At 42.0% G+C, this 18,400-nt stretch overlaps 1 protein-coding gene across 3 annotated transcripts in view, besides 3 other annotated features; it reads right to left on the bottom strand.

Annotated features, from left to right (window-relative positions):
* The window catches only part of TNRC6B (trinucleotide repeat containing adaptor 6B), a 290,975-nt gene that overhangs the window by 124,229 nt on the left and 148,346 nt on the right, over positions 1–18,400 (bottom strand). The gene's annotated exons all lie outside the window — the stretch shown is intronic.
* Positions 301–400: an enhancer, noted in NCBI's record as "active region_19083". NCBI's record gives its function as "activates an Ori minimal core promoter by ATAC-STARR-seq in GM12878 lymphoblastoid cells {active_cell/tissue: GM12878}" and the evidence as "EXISTENCE:reporter gene assay evidence [ECO:0000049][PMID:35858748]".
* Positions 15,231–15,763: an enhancer, noted in NCBI's record as "NANOG-H3K27ac-H3K4me1 hESC enhancer chr22:40591821-40592353 (GRCh37/hg19 assembly coordinates)". NCBI's record gives its function as "activates a minimal SCP1, AML or CMV promoter by ChIP-STARR-seq in primed H9 embryonic stem cells {active_cell/tissue: H9 hESC(primed)}" and the evidence as "EXISTENCE:reporter gene assay evidence [ECO:0000049][PMID:30033119]".
* Positions 15,764–16,298: an enhancer, noted in NCBI's record as "NANOG-H3K27ac-H3K4me1 hESC enhancer chr22:40591286-40591820 (GRCh37/hg19 assembly coordinates)". NCBI's record gives its function as "activates a minimal SCP1, AML or CMV promoter by ChIP-STARR-seq in primed H9 embryonic stem cells {active_cell/tissue: H9 hESC(primed)}" and the evidence as "EXISTENCE:reporter gene assay evidence [ECO:0000049][PMID:30033119]".

The following is an 18,400-nucleotide window of genomic DNA, read 5'->3' as shown; positions in this document are numbered from 1 at the left end:
AAAGTGTGAGCTGGGTTTAGGTTGCTTACAACCCAGAGAGCCACAGTAAGTTTGTGGCAAGGACGACAAATGATATACGTAAAGCACCACGTATCAGCTACTCAATACAGGTGGTGTTCCTGAACTACTAGAATAGTTCAGGCATGGGAAAAGCACTCAAACTAACACATGAACGATGAGAATAAAAGAAAAAAAAGAACAGGCCGGGCATGGTGGCTCATGCCTGTAATCCCAATACTCTGGGAGGCCAAGGTGGAGAATCGCTTGAGTCCAGGAGTTAGAGACCAGCCTGGCCAACATGGCAAGACCTCCTTTCTACAAAAAATAAAAAAATTAGCTGGCGTGGCGGCACACACCTGTAGTCCCAGCTACGTAGGAGGCTGAGGCTGCAGTGAGCCAGGAGCATGCCACTACACTCCAGCCTGGATGACAAAGCAAGATCCTGTCTCAAAAAAGAAGAAGAAGATGAAGAAGAAATCTCACTAAGATATTCAGGAAGCAGTATTAAAAGGGCTGGTAACTGACTAAATGTGGGAGGGAAGTGAAAAAGAAGAGTGTAAGACAGTGGTTTTCAGCAAGGATGATTCTGCCCTTCAGGAGACATCTGACAATATATAGAGACATTTGTTTGTCATGACTGAGGTGGCAGGGTGCTAATAGCATCTAGTGGGTAGAAGGCTTAGGAGGCTGCTAAACACCTTACAAGGCACTGGATGGCCCCCACAACAAAGAATTACCCAGCCCCAAATGTCATTTCCAAGGTTTTGAAACTCTGGTCAAGCATATTTCCAGGTTCCTGGACTAAGGTGACAGGTAAAGAATATTTTCCTTACAATTTAATTAAGTTCTAGGAAAGACGGTTATCAATGAATGTTTGCTACCAACAATATGTTAATAGTTTCTGAAGCCAGTCTTTATTTAAGCCCTAACACCGTCTCCACTGCAGTCAAAGGGGCAAACTTAAATAGTGTAAATGAGTTTAGATTCTACACCAGTGTTAACAACTGAAAGCTGTGCGTATAAAATGGTAAAGAAAATAATTTTTACCAAAGTGTTAACAGTTTTCAATGAATAGAGAAGCAGAAACTGATATACAAACTCCCTTACCAATTTTAAGAAAAAGACTGTCCAAGCCATGTTACTTTCAAAGCTGTTTTTTAAAGATCAAATTTTGCATGTTGAACAAATAACATTACCAGGCTTGCTCAGTGAGGGGGCCAATGCCTGGTGTTAGGATGAGCATCATCTGTGCCTATATTCCCACAGAATCTGAGAGACAACAGCTTTTTCTTACTCACTGTCTGTCTCATCTCACTTGACTACTTGATCTGTGTAGTGAACTTGTACCACAGATATTTCTATCTCTGTTTTATAGTTAAACCCTTTCAGGTGGGGGAAGGAAGCGAGGTCTCTAGCAGCCTGGGGGTTGGGGGGAAGGCACAAGGCGGGCATCCCACAAGCAAGGGTACAAGGTCTCCAACAGTGGTGATGCAGGCCTGCAGTTTGCAGGTCACCAAGTATGCATGTGTTCACATCTGCATTCTCTCTTTTTTTTTTTTTTTGAGACAGAGTCTCACTCTGTTACCCAGGCTAGAGTGCAGCGATGCAATCTCAGCTCACTGCAACCTCCGCTTCCTGGGTTCAAGCAATTCTCTGCCTCAGCCTCCAGAGTAGCTGGGATTACAGGCAACTGTCACCATGTCCGGTTCATTTTTGTATTTTTAGTAGAGACTGGGTTTTACCATCTTGGCCAGGCTGGTGTTGAACTGCTGACCTCGTGATCCACCCACCTCAGCCTCCCAAAGTGCTGGGATTACAGGCGTGAGCCACTGCGCCTGGCCTGCATTCTCTTTATCCCAGAGAGGTGGAAGTCTTTCTTCCCACTTTGCAAATGAGGAAACCGAGGCTCAGAGTATTCAAGTGAAAATCTCTTGAGATACACAACTAGTGACTGCAGCAGGGGATCCTCTCACTGGGGGTATGCTTCTTATGCATGCCATGGCAGGTTAGCGTAAGAATGCCACCATTCTGGGAAGCCAGGGGCAGAACTACCACCATGTCCTGAACCGAGGTTCAGAGCCTTTAAGTAAATTACAGAGTTTTTACTCATAGTAAGTGCAGAGATGAGGCGTGAATCTAGGTTTGTTTGTCTGATTTCCAAGCCCATGTTCTTATGGTGAGATAAAGGTTTGGGCCTTTTCAACTGCTAACCAACCAGATGACTGCATGTTCAGACAGGCTAGGAAGAAATAAAAGCTGGTTTTATTATTTTGTTCTTACTATCCATTAACTAAATGGATATTGGTAGAAAGGGGGCAGGTATAAGCTATCTTTAGAAGTTTCTGTTCTAGAGAATAAATTGGACTCTCTTAGCCAATTATTCACATTTTGAAGTCTTATCATTAGGAGATTAGGAACAGCAAAATTAAATGGCTGACATGCATGAAAGCTGAAAGAGAACCTAATGTGGGAAACATTTTCCATCTGGCTCAATTACTTAGTTGCCAAAAAATAATAATAATAATAAAATGAACAGGGGATAGGCATATTGTTGCTCTGATAAAAATGTTGACGGTGCTTTCACATGCCACTAAAACCTCCTTCAGGCTGCTCTTGAGATACACTGTCATGTCTACAGAGGCAGACGCCTCTCAATGCCAATGTCATGGGACAAACAAGGATCACTAGGTCTTTCCTTTCCGTGTTTCAGGCATCTCTCATTGGCAAAGAATTCAAAACGCATTTAAAAATAAGTACTCAGTGCCTGAATTACTTTTTGGATGGAGATGACATTTGTGTTATTTTTCCACTCTTAAAAAATAATAAAACTTCTGGAGAAAAATTTTTATTACATATTTAATACATACAAAATAACTTTTATATACCCTCCACTCAGCTTAAGGAATAACCTTTCCGGTACTCAGAAGCCCCCTGTATAATCCCACCTTTCCCTACTCCACAAGCGTTAACTTCCCCTTAACTTAGCACTCCCTTGATTGACCACACCATGCTTGGTAACCTAAACAACATTTCAGTTGTATTTCTGAGTTTCTTAAGTGGAATTTTATTACTTTATTCTTCTGCAACTTGTTTTTCTCACACAATGCTATGTCCCTAAAATTCATGTAAATGTAAAGAGTACCACGCTGTATTTATACATTTGCCTACTGATGGGCATTAAGGTTTCCAATTTTTGCCAGGACAAGCCACATTGCTGCAGACATCTTAGGGCATGCCTCCTGTACATGCATACAGCTCTTCTGTGGGGTAGGTTACCAGCCCACAACTGAAACTGCTGGCTCATAGAGTGTCCATGTTTTCCAACTTTACTAGACATTGCTACACTCTTTTCCAAAGTGGTTTCAACAATTTACACTCCCACCAGAAAAGTAAAAGCTCCTGCTATTCCATAACCACACCAAAACTTGTTTTTTTCTTGTTTTTTTGTTTTTTTTTTTTTTTTTTTTTGAGATGGAGTCCCACTCTATTGCCCAGGCTGGAGAGACGGGCGCATCTCAGCTCACTGCAAGCTCCGCCTCCCGGGTTCCCGCCATTCTCCTGCCTCAGCCTCCCGAGTAGCTGGGACTACAGGCGCCCGCCACCATGCCCGGCTAATTTTTTGTATTTTTCTAGTAGAGATGGGGTTTCACCGTGTTAGCCAGGATGGTCTCTATCTCCTGACCTCGTGATCTGCCCACCTCAGCCTCCCAAAGTGCTGGGATTACAGGTGTGAGCTACTGCTCCTGGCCGGTATTTTCTTAATTCTTTTAATTTTTGCCAATTTTATGAGTATAAAATGGGACCTCATTGTGGTTTAACTAGCATTTCCTTGATTACTAATTAAGTTGTATTTCCCCCTCCACATTTATTGGCCATTTGGATTTTCTCTACTGTGAAATTTCTATGTTTCTTTTGAGCATTTTTTTCTTCTACTAGGTCTTTTTCTTATTGATTAGTAGGAGTTCTGCATTGTATTCTGGATATAAATCCTCTGTTGATCACAGGTACTGAAAATATCTTCTCCTAGCTTGTCTCTCACTTTGGCCATAATGTCATTTGGTGACTTTAAGTTCTTATCATGATATAATGAACATGTATCAACTTTTTCATTCTTGTTACGTTTATTTTATTATACATATATATATATATATATATATATATTTTTTTTTTTTTGAGGCAGGGTCTCACTCCATCGCCCAGGCTGGGGTGCAGTGGTGTGACCACAGTAGAGGTGCCCACGAACTTCTGAGCTCAGGCAGTCCTCCTGCCTCAGCCTCCCAAAGTGCTGGAACTATAGGCGTGAGCCACAGCGCCCAGCCATGTTATCCTGTTTAATCATCCCTGCTCCAAGGTCATAAATATTCTTCCATATTTGTTTCTAGAAATAATTTTTTTCATATTTATCTGAATCCATTTGGTATTTATTTTTGTATGTGGTGTATGACTTGATCCTTACAAGGCAAAGACATTCATGTGAAGACAGAGGCAGAAACTGAAGTGATGCAGCTCTAAGGCATGAACGTGAAGGACTGCCAGCAACCAGAGGCTAGGAAGAGATGGGGAGCAATTCTTCCTAGAGCCTTCGGAGGTCGAGTAATTTTGGACTTTTAGCCTCCAGAACTGTGAGAGAATAAACGTCCGATGTTTTAAGCCATTCAGTTTGTGGTATTTTGTTACGGCGGCCCTAAGAGACTAACGCAATCCATATGAAGTATCCCAGAGCACTTGTCGAAAAGTCCATTATTTCCCCAACTAAACTGCAGTGTCACCTGTCGCCTCTCCCTACTGTCAGGCCAGTTCCGCCACAGAGCAAGATTCCATGTACGCGTGGCGGTCTTGTCTAGGCTTCCCACTTACGCGCTGACCCACCTCAGCCCCTGCATCTACACCACACTGCTCTTCGTTACTACAGCTTTACGGCAAGGGATCTAGCAGGTTAAATCCTCCCACTTGTTGTTCCTGTCATTTCTCTTTTCCATATAAATTTTAAAATCATCTTATCAAGTTTCAGAAAAAAAGCATGGCGTTTTTATGGGAATTACTTTGAATTTATATACCAATTCAAGAAGAATTGACATTTTTAAAAATAATTGAGCCTTCTTAACCATGAACATGACAAAGCTCTGTCTATTTAGATGTTAGTTTAATGTCTTCTGATATAATTTTACATTTTCTCCCATGAAGGTCTTGTCAGGTCTGGTCCCACATTTCTAGTATTTTCTCTTGGTACTATAATGGTATACTTTTAAAAATTATATTCTTAAGCAGGGAATCGTTTAAATAAAAAAGACAAAACTTTGCTGATCTTTAGAAACAGTACCCAATCATATACTTACACCAATAAGTTCTTTAATGAGCATCTCATACAGAAATCAGATATTTTAGTAACTATATTAATATCTAATATGTCCATGCTCAAAAAAACAAAAAATAAAAAATTAAAAAAATATATTTCTGGGCTCATTATGTGTTGGACATTTCCCTAAATGTGTAAACCTCACTTTCCTGAGGAAAATTCTATGAAGCTCACTGTACAGTTGAGAAAACTGAGGCTTAAAGAGGTAAAGGCCCAGGAGGCAGCTCTGGAAACGGAAGCCAGCATGTGGCTCTACTGCATTATTTCTTAAGTACTATTGCGTGGATCACCCCTTCGTCATGACAGATGAGAAGAATAAAATCCACCTTAACCTCAGAACCCAAAAAGACTTTCCCAATAATCAAAATCCCTTCTGGCTGCCTAAATTCACTTGGTGGGTTCTGCCAATCAAAGTAGCATTGAAACTTACTGCACTTGTGGATTCAAAACTACTGTTCTGATTAATTTATAATAAAATGCTCTCCAGATGATAAACACTCAACACTTTCAATTACATTTTTAAAGTAATTAGATAATACAGTAAACCAAGAATGTCATAAAACTAGTATTACTGTTAGGCAGTGGTAGTTTCCAGATATTTTTTCAATTACTTTCTTAAAAATGCTCAATGCTTAACTGTCAATTTTCAGATTAATGACTCATTTTCAAGATTCAGTAATGGACTTCACCTAGATCCCAAAGCTTCTAGGTTGATGATGATTAGTGTTTCTATGGACAAACCAACAGTGAACCATTCTAGTGATTTTCAGTAATTACATTAATATATATCTAAATTCTTTCTTAATCTATAAGCCACAGAATCAGCATATCTAGAATACCAGTAATCTTCTGACCTTAGCCAATACCAAGTAATCCCTTTTCAGTACTGGTGCACAAAACTTTGGTCTCACCTTATATTAATGGATAATCTGTGAACACCATCTACTTAATTACATTTGTTTGCTTACTACAATGCTACAAATATTTATTAAACTTCTACTAAGTGCTTGAGGTAATCAGTGAATGCAACAGACAAAAGATCCTGACAATTTTCACTATGAGGTGGGAACTCAGCACACTCCAGTGTGGCCCAGTAGTGGTCAGGAACAGTTGATCAATTTATTAGATCACATCTGTGGAACACACCTGAGATTATCATTGTGAAAATTAACATATGTTAGGCAAACTGCTCTTAGCTACATAGTTGTATACTGTCTTCAAAATGGAAAAACTAAACCATGATGTTCAGTAAGATAAAAATGTACCTGTACTTTCACAATAATAACTGATGAAAGTGTTTAATGTCATTAATTTCACTGGATAAGTGAAATTGAAGGTTAGAAACCAACTACATTTTTCCTATGCCCATTTTAGTGAACTGTTGGTATCACTATAAAAACCAAGTAATTGGCAACTTATTAAAAATAGAAAAAGCAGCAGCAGCAGCAGAGACAGAACAATGGCAGGTGGCCTAAGTACAGCAGAGCTTCTTAGTAGCCGCAGGCAGCTCTGTCACTACCAGAGTCAATTATTCTCACAGAAGAGCATCAAGGAGGCCAGGCAGCCCCCCTGGGTCAGTTACACATGTATCATTTAGAGATAACATCCTGCTTACAAATAGTGGTGCAAACATTGAAACCCAAGTTCCACAACTGCTTTTGCAACACATAAAATTTACGCTCGCTAGTCACTTGTTAGCATTTTTGGAATGCAGTGGGACAGAGGAAGCAGAAGGTCAAGCCCGTAGCCAGGAAAATGTACACTGTCTGGACTCTGTTAGTCCCTGGGGACTAGAGTGGCAGGGGATGAATCTGGAATGACTGGCCCTGGCTACTGGCCACAGCATCCCAACAAAGGCAAAAAAAATTGAACCTACATGCCTGGTTTATCCCAATGGTCCGTGAATAAATGCCAGAGGCTTACATTTCACAGGACTGACCAAAATTCACAAGTATGTAAAAAGTTCCTGCCCTATACCTCCTTTTCCTATAATTAAACAACAAAGAACCCACAGAGTCTGAACACAGTACAGATGGCTTATGAAATACAAACGACAAAATATTCATATCCTCTAAAAATTAAAGAGATGTGGTGGCATATAAAGACACAGAGTTAAGTATTTTGCTCAAAACTCTGCATTATAAAATGTTTCTCCTTTCTCTTTGCTGTCTTTTTGATTCGCTTTTATTTATTAAGAAGCGAATAGGGATGAAAAGTAGAGGGCTGAGGAAGGTGATGCTATTTGGGTGGGGAGATGGAGAGAAGGAAAACTGAAGGAGGAAAGAAAAAGCAAAATAGACACATCATAAAGGGCAATAAAAGAACAACTAGAGGCCCACGCCGATGCTGGACACCCTCCTCCCTCTCTGACTAACAGCCCGAACCCTTTTAGCATTCTACATCACCGAACCCTTAGAAAGATGGGGCTAGAATATTCAGTGGTTCCTGAAGGTACTTCTCAGCAGCACCTGCCATGTGGCAGGAAATGAAAACAAAACAAAACAAAATTGGCAGAAGCAGAAGGCCTCACCACACGATTCTGTTCTGATGACTGAACCTCAGGCTGTATAAGGAAAGAAAACACTTGGTCTCAAAACTTCATTTTAAATACAGAGCTTATTATAACTAAAGAATTACCATAAGTGGTATCTATCAAAGTAATCAAAGAGTTTTTTAGGCTGTTTTCCCAATTCTATTTTACCTTCTTCAGTTTTCCTTCTCTCCATCTCCCCACCCAAATAGCACCCAAATGTACAAAATTTGTACATTTTTGCATTTTTATGACATACCTGGAAGAGATTAAAGCAGACGCAAGGAGTACTCTCATGAAGGTGACTTTTGTTACGGAAGGGCAAATGGCAGGACATGAAATGATGGAAAGAGCAAAGTGGGTCATAGAACCAGAAACAACCCTGGTGGGAATCCATTAAGGGGGTGGGCCAGACCCTGGACAGGGGTAAGCCTGGCATGCTGTGACATATTAGGTCTTTGCAGAGTGTCCTGACACCTGGCTGGGAAGCACCCATAGCTTAGAACCAAAAATATGTTTTGAGCTACCAGTTAAGTTTGCTCACCAACATGTGATCACCAATAACTACTTCTCTCTACTATACTCAACAAGACAGGCTGATGATCAGTGGCCAGCATTTTTTGAAACCTGCTACTGAGCTAATGCAACCTGCAAGGCTGAAGCCCATTCAACACAGAACTTGGCCTTATCATAGTCTAAGACAATGGCCTGAAGTCCTCCTCACTAAATTCAGTGTGTTAGATCAAACATTAGTGAAAACCTGGGCGAGAAGGAAAGGGCTAGCAAGAAAAGACAAAATGTGTGGAAATAAGACGGATGGAAGCAATGCTGACAAGCTGTAACTTTGGAGATACCCAGTAGTGCAGACTCTGAGGTAAACGGTCAAGAGCAGAGCTCCTTCCACCTGCAGTTATCCCCTCCACGCAGTCTACTCCTGGCCCTCTTCCAGCAGGCACTCGACACATGGACTCCTCTGATACACCTTCAAGGACTAGGGATCCCTGTGGCCAGGGACACAGAGGAAATATTTTGGTCTTCGTGAAGCTATGAAGGTGTTGATCCAACACTGTGGGCTATGTATTTCAAAACTGAGAAACAAGTCATTCGTTATCTTAAGACAACACATAAATCGGATTTATCTTAAAGAAAAGGGTTGTCTCTTTCTGAAAGATGGACTCCTTTTTGCTTCACAGTTTTCAAGCACATCTCCTGTCCTACATGCGTTTATATATAGTTACAGCAGCAATGGTTTATTTACATTCCTCCACTGACTGCAGAAAACCACAATCTATTTGTAATTATAATACCCTAAAAATAAGTTATTTGATTCTTTCAAATGTGAAAAGTAACAAGTGGCAACATTCTTGTTAAAAACTCATATAGAAAGTTGGTCATTTGCAAAACAGGTCTGCCAAAGGCAAAAAAAAAAAAAACAAAAAAACAACAACAACACATACACATTTAGAGGTTTTAAAAGCCTATTCTGGTTTTTCAAGCAGGGTATACAGAAACAAAACATCAAATTAAATGACTTTAACTCAACTAGAAGTAGGAATTAATATTATTCCTTTCTCTGACATTCAAAGCTCATCAGGCAAAGTTCTCAAGACAGTATTTTCTTGGCTTACACTACTTGAGACAAAAGTATTTCCTAGTGATTAACATTACGTGACCCTTTCAAACCTGAGCAAAGCTCGCCTAACTATTCTAAAATGGTATTACAAATTGAGTATTCCTTATTGAAATGTCTGGGAACAGAAGTGTTTCAAACTTTTTCGGATTCTGAAATAGTTGCATGAAATTTACTGGTTGAGCATCCTGAATCTGAAAATCTGAAATCCGAAATACTCCAATGAGCACTCTCAGTATCGTGCTGGTGCTCAAAAAGTTTCAGATTTTGGAGCATTTTGGGTTGTAGAGCATTTTGGATTTTCAGATTCGGGATTCTCAACCTGTATTTGAAAATGGAGGCTGGGTGTGGTGGCTCACAACTCTAATCCCAGCTACTCAAGAGGCCGAGGTGGGAGGATCGCTTGAGTCCCACCAGCCTGGGCAACACAGCGAGACCCTGTCTCTTCAAAAAATAAAAAATTAGCCAGGTGTAGTAGAGTACGCCTGTAGTCCCAGCTACTCAGGAGGCTGAAGTGGGAAGATCACTTGAGTCCAGGAGGTCGAGGCTGCAGTGAGCCATGATCATGCCACTGCACTACAGCCTGGGTGACAGAGTGAGACCCTGTCTCAAAAAAAAAACAAAAAAGAAAAAGAAAAAGAAAATGCACCAAACACCACATAAAAACAACTTTAGTAGGCCAACCCTTGAGCAGAGAAAAATCTGAAAATAAGCCAGTATTTATCTCATACTGCTCAAGTTCCAGCCCTATATGGCACAGACTTTCAGAGACATGTTCCCTATTCTCCATCTAGTTTTTCACAGCACTCTAACAAAGCCACTAAAAGCAAAACTTCACAACAGAAAGGTAGCCAAATTTTTTTTAAAGATTCTAAAGTGTAAGTGTGCAAAAATGTATACAAGGCAATTTTTAGATTTATAAAAGTACGAATGATAACCTAAACGTCCCTCAGTGGGAGCTACCATTTACCAGGTGCTTGCCATGTGCCACCCACAAGTATAGCACCCTACGTGTATCACCACGTGTGATGCTCACAACAGCTCTGTTAAATGGGGATGAGACACATCTCCAGCCTGCAGATAAGGAGGCGGAGGCACAGTGAAGTTGAGTAAGATTTCAGCACAGTTGCTGGCAGGGCTGGGATACGAATATAGAGCTTGAGCTCCCACCACCATCACATTCCACTGCCTCTCATGAGAGGGAACTTAAAGAAATGATGGCTTCTCCAAATAACACAAGGCCATGCAGCTCTAGTGGCAGGGGTTTTGACTGATGACCATTGTAATTCCCAGGAATACAGTGTGCCTGTGCCTAGCATATCATAAATACTCAATATGACCTACAACATATATTACATATACATTCATACATACATAAATAAAATGCTTAAAAGGGGAGGCTAAAATAAGAAATAGGGAACATTTAATTTTATGTACTTCTCATGATTTAAATTTTAGGCAAGAATATTACTTTTTAGCCGGGCGCGGTGGCTCACGCCTGTAATCCCAGCACTTTGGGAGGCCGAGGCGGGCAGATCACCTGAGGTCAGGAGTTAGAGACCAGCCTGGCTAACATGATGACACCCCGTCTCTACTAAAAATACAAAAAATTAGCTGGGCGTGGGGGTGCACGCCTGTAATCCCAGCTACTCGGGAGGCTGAGGCAGGAGAAACGCTTGAACCCGGCAGGCAGAGGTTGTAGTGAGCCGAGATCATGCCACTGTACTTCAGCTTGAGCAACAAGAGTGAAGCTCTTGTCTCAAAAAAAAAAAAAAAAAAAAAAAAGAATATTACTTTTTAAATTATTTTAAAATTTTGAAACAATCTCAAACTTATGTAAATTTGCAAGAATAGTACCAAGAACTGTCTCTCCCCAGAACCATTGAGGGGAAGTTGTCAACTTGAGGCCCTGTCACCCTGAATACTTTAGTATGTGTTTTCCCAAAAAACAAAACCAAATCACTAGGCCAGGGACTGTGGCTCACACCTGTAAACCCAGCACTTTGAGAGGCCGAGTCGGGCGGATCACTTGAAGTCAGGAGTTCAAGACCAGCCTGGCCAACATGGTGAAACCCAATCTCTATTAAAAATACAAAAATTAGTCGGGTATGGTGGCACATGCCTTAATCCCAGCTAGTAGGGAGGATGAGGCATCATGAGAATCGTTTGAACCCAGAAGGCGGAGGTTGCAGTGAGCTGAGATCGTGCCACTGCAGCACTCCAGCCTGGGCGACAGAGCCAGACTCTGTCTCAAAAGAAAAACAACAACAACAAAAACCAAACCACAGTCCTACATAACCATAATACAACCATCAAAATCAGAACATTAACGCTGATACATTTCTATCATTAAATCCTCAAGCCCCATGTAAGCTTCGTCACCTGTCCCAGCAATAGCCTTTATAGTAAAAAGATCGAGGTCAGAATCACATATTGCATTTAGTTGACATGTCTCTTTAGTCTCCTTCGGTTTAGAATCATTCTTTGGTCTTGCTTTGACTTTCATGACCCTGAAATTTTTGAGGATTACAGGCCAGTTATTTTGTAGAATGTCACTCCAACCAGGTTTGCCTATCATTTCCTCATAATTAGATTGAGGTCATGTGCCTTGGCAGGAACACTGCAGAGGGAATGGTGTGTTCTCTTTGCATCCTAGCAGGTGGCATGATTTCAATTTGTTCCACTGCTGGGATTACCTGGTTAAGGTGGCATCTGCCAGGCCTCTCCATTGGAAAGTTGCTCTTTTTCTCCTTTGTAATCATTAAGTATTTTTGAAGAAGTACTTTGAAATTTAGAGAACCCATTCTTCAAATGCTGAATTTACTGATAAGTCCGTACATAGGTTTTCTTACAAAGTAGGTGAAGCTGTGTGAGAACTCTTAGTTTTCTTTTTTACTCAGCAGGTTCTAATCCATGACTATCACTTCTTAAATTTTGAAATAAACTCAGATTTGGCCAGTGGGAACCGCTTCAAACTGACTCTGGGTCCTTTTGGCATGTTTTCATCACTCTTTGAAGACTTCTTTGCTTTCTAACCCAAGATGTTCCAGGCTCATGTTAAACATTCCTGCTCCAATCCTATAATCAGCCATTTCTCCAAGCAGCTGGGGTTCCTTTTAGTGGAAAATGGGATATAGAAGCCAAGATCTAGAAACCTGATACACTCACTGCTATTGGAATACTGCTGTTCCCAGGCACCCTCCCCCTCTACTACCAACAGAACTAGGAAACAGATGTGCGTATGTATGTGCACACACATATGCATATAAATACACATGCATGCATGCCTTTTGCAAAGATTTTATTGCTATTTTTATCGGTCCTTATTAAAATCCAGGCATTCACACCAATACTTCTGATTCCGATCTAGCATCACAGGGTTAATTCTAGCTGTCTCCTTTCCAATATCTGTAATGTTCTTCAACAGTGAGAGCTGCTGGGGGCCATTATCCTGAACATACTTATTTCATCAATCCTCCTATATTCAACCAATCAATACAGGAAGGGCATCCCAGAAGCAATGGATGCCCTTCTCACCTCTCCTGGGCTCTGACACAGCACACCAGACCCTCCCTCCTCATCCTACTCAGGCTCTGATACCCCTGGCCAGGCCAACACCTTGCTGAGCCCACTTAATAGCCTCTAGGACTGAACTGTTCAGGAAGGAAAAGAGAGAGAAAAGAAGAATGCTTTTAAAATTAAAAAGAATTAATGTAAAAATGTATTTTTTAAAGAATATCTGTTAAGTTAGAACTTGTAATAATTCAGACGGCCAAACTAAAATTCAACTTTGCATCATCTATGAAGAACAGGTTTGCTAAGTAAATTAATAGTGTAAACAAGCTTGTAACCCAGATATTTAACCTACTTAAGAAAACTAATTGTTTTCAAGCACTTTAAAATCACTGGGCATGTACTTGCCTTTAATTATTGTCTAATTACAAATGACTTCTATTTTCTTCGTTATAGCTTTGATAAGCCTTCTGATTATGCTTTAAGAATTACAACTTAAACTCAATACAGTTTAGATCCTTTAAAAATGTCTTTATTAATCAATTGGTTTTTCAATTAATCACCTGAAGTAAACTTTTTAACCATTCAGTGATTTTTCTTTTTTAGTTAATCTGTCATGTTGCTTAAAAAGAAAAAATGGGCCAGGCATGGTGGCTCATGTTTGTAATCCCAGCGCTTTGGGAGGCTGAGGTGGGAGAATCACTTGAGCCCAGGAGTTCAAGACCAGCCTGAGCAGCACAGGGAGACCCTGTCTCTGTTAAAAGAAGTTTTTTTTAATTAGCCAGGCACGGTGGCTCATGCCTGTAGTCCCAATTACTTGCGTGGCTGAGACAGGAGGATCTCAGCTTGAGCCCAGAAGGTCGAGGCTGCACTGAACTATGAATCGCACCACTGCACTCCAACCTGGGCAACAGAACAAGACTTGTCTCAAAAAAAAAAAAAAAGAAAAAGAAAAACGCCTTTCGGCTGGGTGCGGTGGCTCATGCTTGTAATCTCAGCACTTTGGGAGGCCGAGGGGGGTAGATCATGAGGTCAGGAGTTTGAGAACAGCCTGGCCAACATAGTGAAACCCCGTCTCTACTAAAAATACAAAAAATCAGCCTGGGTGTGGTAGCAGGCACCTGTAATCCCAGCTACTTGGGAGGCTGAAAAGCAGGAGAATCGCTTGAACCCGGGAGGTGGAGGTTGCAGTGAGCTGAGATCAAGCCATGTGCTGCGCTCCAGCGAGGGGCAACAGTGTGAGACTCTGTCTCAAAAAAAAACAAGAAAAACACCTTTCAGCAGCCAGCCAGGGATGCTCCCAAAGACCTCCTATTCTGCACACGATCAGCACAGTCTCATTCTCCTGTTGTTTATCATGAATGCAGTGCTGAGGACACCATAAAGCCAGCAAGCTGTTCCCGTCATCTGCATCCATATTTTAAGACACTCCACTTTATAATACAGGGATTCAACCAATCAATTAGCAAATCACTCTGCACTGTGTTTAAGGCAGCTTGGGAAGAGAAGAAAATTTTGGTGGAGTTACAGCACCCAGTTCCTCCACCTCCTCATGTGTACATGGCTGCAGCCTGGTCACTGAGCTGTCAGCACTCCTTTTTTCTTATGAAGATAAAACCATCCTCCACATCAGGTTGTTGGGAGGACTAAATGAGGTAATGGAAGTGTGTGCAGCATAATAGGCACTTAATGAATCAGTTCATGTCCCTTCCCCCCGACCAGAGCCTTATGGAAAAACTCAGCATGACTCAGAGCAATGTTTTAAAATTTGGTTACACAGAACCTCAGAGAGAAGCTACTGCAGAGTACAGGTCATAACTGCGAGCCTGAACCACATCTGCCCTATCACTGCCCCGACCCAAACAAAGGGAAACCAGAAAAAAACATCAGCAAGAGTTCCAGAAAAAAACATCAGCAAGAGTTCCATAATCTAAAAATGAGCAACCAACTCATCCCTGCCTCAGGAGAATAGAAATATTCTAGGAGAAAGAAATGAACAAATAAGCTGTTTTTTCTACCCTGACTTCCAAATAAAGGTGCCAACAAGTCCTAGAGACTCCAACGAGGCCCAGTTTTAGGGTCCTGGACCACTGAGGCACTCATTTATTCAGTGGTGGGTTATCTGGTTTTTACCTCTAGATCTATTAAGTACCAGTAACTATTAGGATTTAACATGTGATAGAAGAAGATCACATTATTAAAAATCCATTAGAAAGCCCCACCTCTACAAAAAAATTAGCCAGGCATGGTGGTGGAGCCTGTAGCCCCAGCTACTCTGGTAGCTGAGATGGAAGGACTGCTTGAGCCCGGTAGGTTGAGGCTGAGATTGTGACATTGCACTCCAACAGACTGAGACCCTGTCTCAAAAAAAGAAAAAAATCCATTAGAGGTAAGCAATTTTTAAAATCAAAGGTGTTAACAATATGATGCACTATGGGCCAACCTAGCAGTGTATTAAAAAGAAAAAAAAAAAAGGCTGGACGCGGTGGCTCACACCTGTAATCCCAGGACTTTGGGAGGCTGAGGCAGACGGATCACGAGGTCAGGAGATTGAGACCATACTGGCTAACACGGTGAAACCCCGTCTACTAAAAATACAAACAAACAAAAAAAATTAGCTGGGCGTGGTGGCGGGCGCCTGTAGTCCCAGCTGCTGGGGAGGCTGAGGCAGGAGAATGGTGTGAACCTGGGAGGTGGAGCTTGCAGTGAGCTGATATTGCGCCACTGCACTCCAGCCTGGGCGACAGAGCGAGACTCCGTCTCAAAAAACAAAACAAAACAAAACAAAACAAAATAAAGCTGAGGATGGTGGCTCATGCCTATAATCCCAGCACCTTGGGAGGCAAAGGCAGGAGGATTGCCTGAGGTCAGCAGTTTGAGACCAGCCTGGGCAACATATCAAGGCCCCGTCTCTACAGAAAAATTTAGCCAGGTGTGGTGGTGTGCACCTGTAGTCCTAACTACTTGGGAGGCTAACCCAGGAGTATTGTTTGGCTCCAGTTTGAGGCTGTAGTGAGCTAAGATCGTGCCATTGCACTCCAGCCTGGGTGACAGAGCAAAGCCCTGTCTCTAATAAATTAAAAAAAAGAGAAGACGACAAAGGCAAAAAAGCTAGTCCCTAATAGTGAATCAAGCAGAGCTGGAAAGGTCCCAGCAGGTTAGACATTTCAAACACGTGGCCTCAAAAGAAAACACTGGGATCAGGAATTAATCTAAGAATTATCAGTAAATAATGCCAGATGATCTATTTGCTCTATATTTTCAATATCTGAAATATCTAAACTTCCTTGGCATGTAAGATGATGTGGTTTTGGTGTGTTGTTTCTTTTAAAACCATTATAATTTGTTTACATCCAAGAAAATATAGTGGCAATCCTTCCAAATTGCCTCAAGAGCAAAGCCAGACATTTAAAAAATGCAAACAAAAAAGGTACCATGAACATACATTGTTGTCTCTGCAAATAATTCTTCTTCACACAGAAGGATAAAGCTGTCTGCATGTGTCATTTGCAAAGCCTCTGCGCTTCCAAAAGGCCTCCAAGCAAAATTTAAAGGAGGGCTCCCAGCAAAATTTAAAGCAGGTCTCCCCTGGGTTTACAAAGGGCCTAGACCCTGAGTGATACATCACAGGACTCAGACGTCCTCCCCAAACCACTGCAGATGCACCAGTGTTCTGTAGCAGGAAACACCAGTTCGCCTCCTTTTAGGGACCACAGTGCCTAAAAGTCTCCCCCTCCCCTTCCCCAAGCTGGTGGAGGGACCAGCCACTCTGGCTTTTCTTCTCTATTGGTGGGGGGAGGACAAGTAAACACAGAAGCTGCTACAGCTCAGAGAATTCACAGGCTGATTGCATTTAAAGCCTTTCCCAATTGTGAGATGTTAGGCATCTTTGTTTCCTATTAAAGGACATTCAAGCATGTGCAAAGCAGGTGGGGAAAACTAAGAGTTCTGTATCAAGGACACTGCTACCTGAAATACAGATATTTCTTCTAAAAGGGAGGAGACAGTTCACAGCCCCCTTCCACACCACGCCAAATATTTCTTCTGGAAGGAAAGCTGGCCCAGCAACTTCAGGAAGCTACTGCAATGCTACCTGGCCTGGGAGAAGTATTTTGTCTGGTTTCTTCCTAGGGCAGAATACCATAATGCCCAAGCACAGAAGCTCAGCAGCCGAGGCCATCGGGGTCACTTCCTACCTGTGTAGCCTCGGGCAACACAGTCTCTCCGCACCAGCTCACAGGGTCTTCATGAAGATGAAATGAGTTAGCACAGGTAAAGCACACAGGAATGCTCTGCCCGGGGTTTACCCCAGGAAGTGCTATCTTAAGCCCTTCCAAGATGTAAATTCCCACCTCCTCCAACCCAGACTCCTTCTTCTTTTCCTTTTCTTCAGACCATTTGCCTGCCCCTGGTTCTTTTATTCTCAACCTAACACGCACTGTCATGCATATTCACCAGCATTCTCCAAAGACCTTGCCCCCTGGTTATCCCACACTACCTTTCTAAGCCTATCCTCACGCAACCTCAGACAAACCCCAACCCCAACTAACTGTGTTCTTCACCTTCCCTTGCTGGGGAAAAAAAACCCCTGCACAGCCACAGATCACTGCAATTACATATAACGCATCTCCTCTCTCAGTGAAGCTCTTAGGGCTGGCAGCCGGTTCTCTTTGCAGTCTTTCTTTTTTTTTTGGAGGGTGGGTGGCGCTGTTCCACATGTTTTATCTTACTTCAAGTTCTTTTTCCCACTCAGACTTCACCTCCTATTCCTACTTTACAGAAACAGTGAATGCTTCCCAGGAGAACTCCCTCAAACACCCTTCCCTCCATTTCCATATTTACTTTTCCTTCTCTGAGGCTAACCTGTCTTCTAGGCAGCAAATCTCTCCCCATGCCTCAGGTCTCTTCTCTGCGGGGAGATTTTTCTCCCCAGGACATCCTCTCTTCCAGGTACAAGTCAACTAACTTTATGAAGTGCCTACGGAGTGCCAGGCTGCAGTCCACAGATGATGGAGGTAGAGCTCATCCTCACGCCTTCAATGCTTACCTCTCTGCTAGCTCCTTCCTATTTGTGCTTCAGAAGGGAAGCCCAACCAGGGCAGCATTTTTCAATCTATTTTTGCTCACTGCTTTATCCCCAGAGACCAGCATAGCTCCTGGAGCATATGAGGCACTCCTAATTATTTGCTGAGTTGTTTCAAGTCATCTTTGATTCACTTATTCATTCAACAAATGGTCACTGAGCACCCTCTGTCAGAAGCTGTGCAAGTCCTGGGGTGACGCTGATGAACACTGTGAGTTCCTCCTGGAGAACTGCTCAATGTATTGCCAGGGAGAGACCCAAAAACCCTTGAGGAGACTTTGCCACGCG

Source organism: Homo sapiens, chromosome 22, assembly GCF_000001405.40.
Source record: "Homo sapiens chromosome 22, GRCh38.p14 Primary Assembly".
NCBI classification, from domain to species: domain Eukaryota; kingdom Metazoa; phylum Chordata; class Mammalia; order Primates; family Hominidae; genus Homo; species Homo sapiens.
The sequence above is the reverse complement of the archived record's forward strand: the minus strand, read 5'-3'. Positions and strand labels throughout refer to the sequence as shown.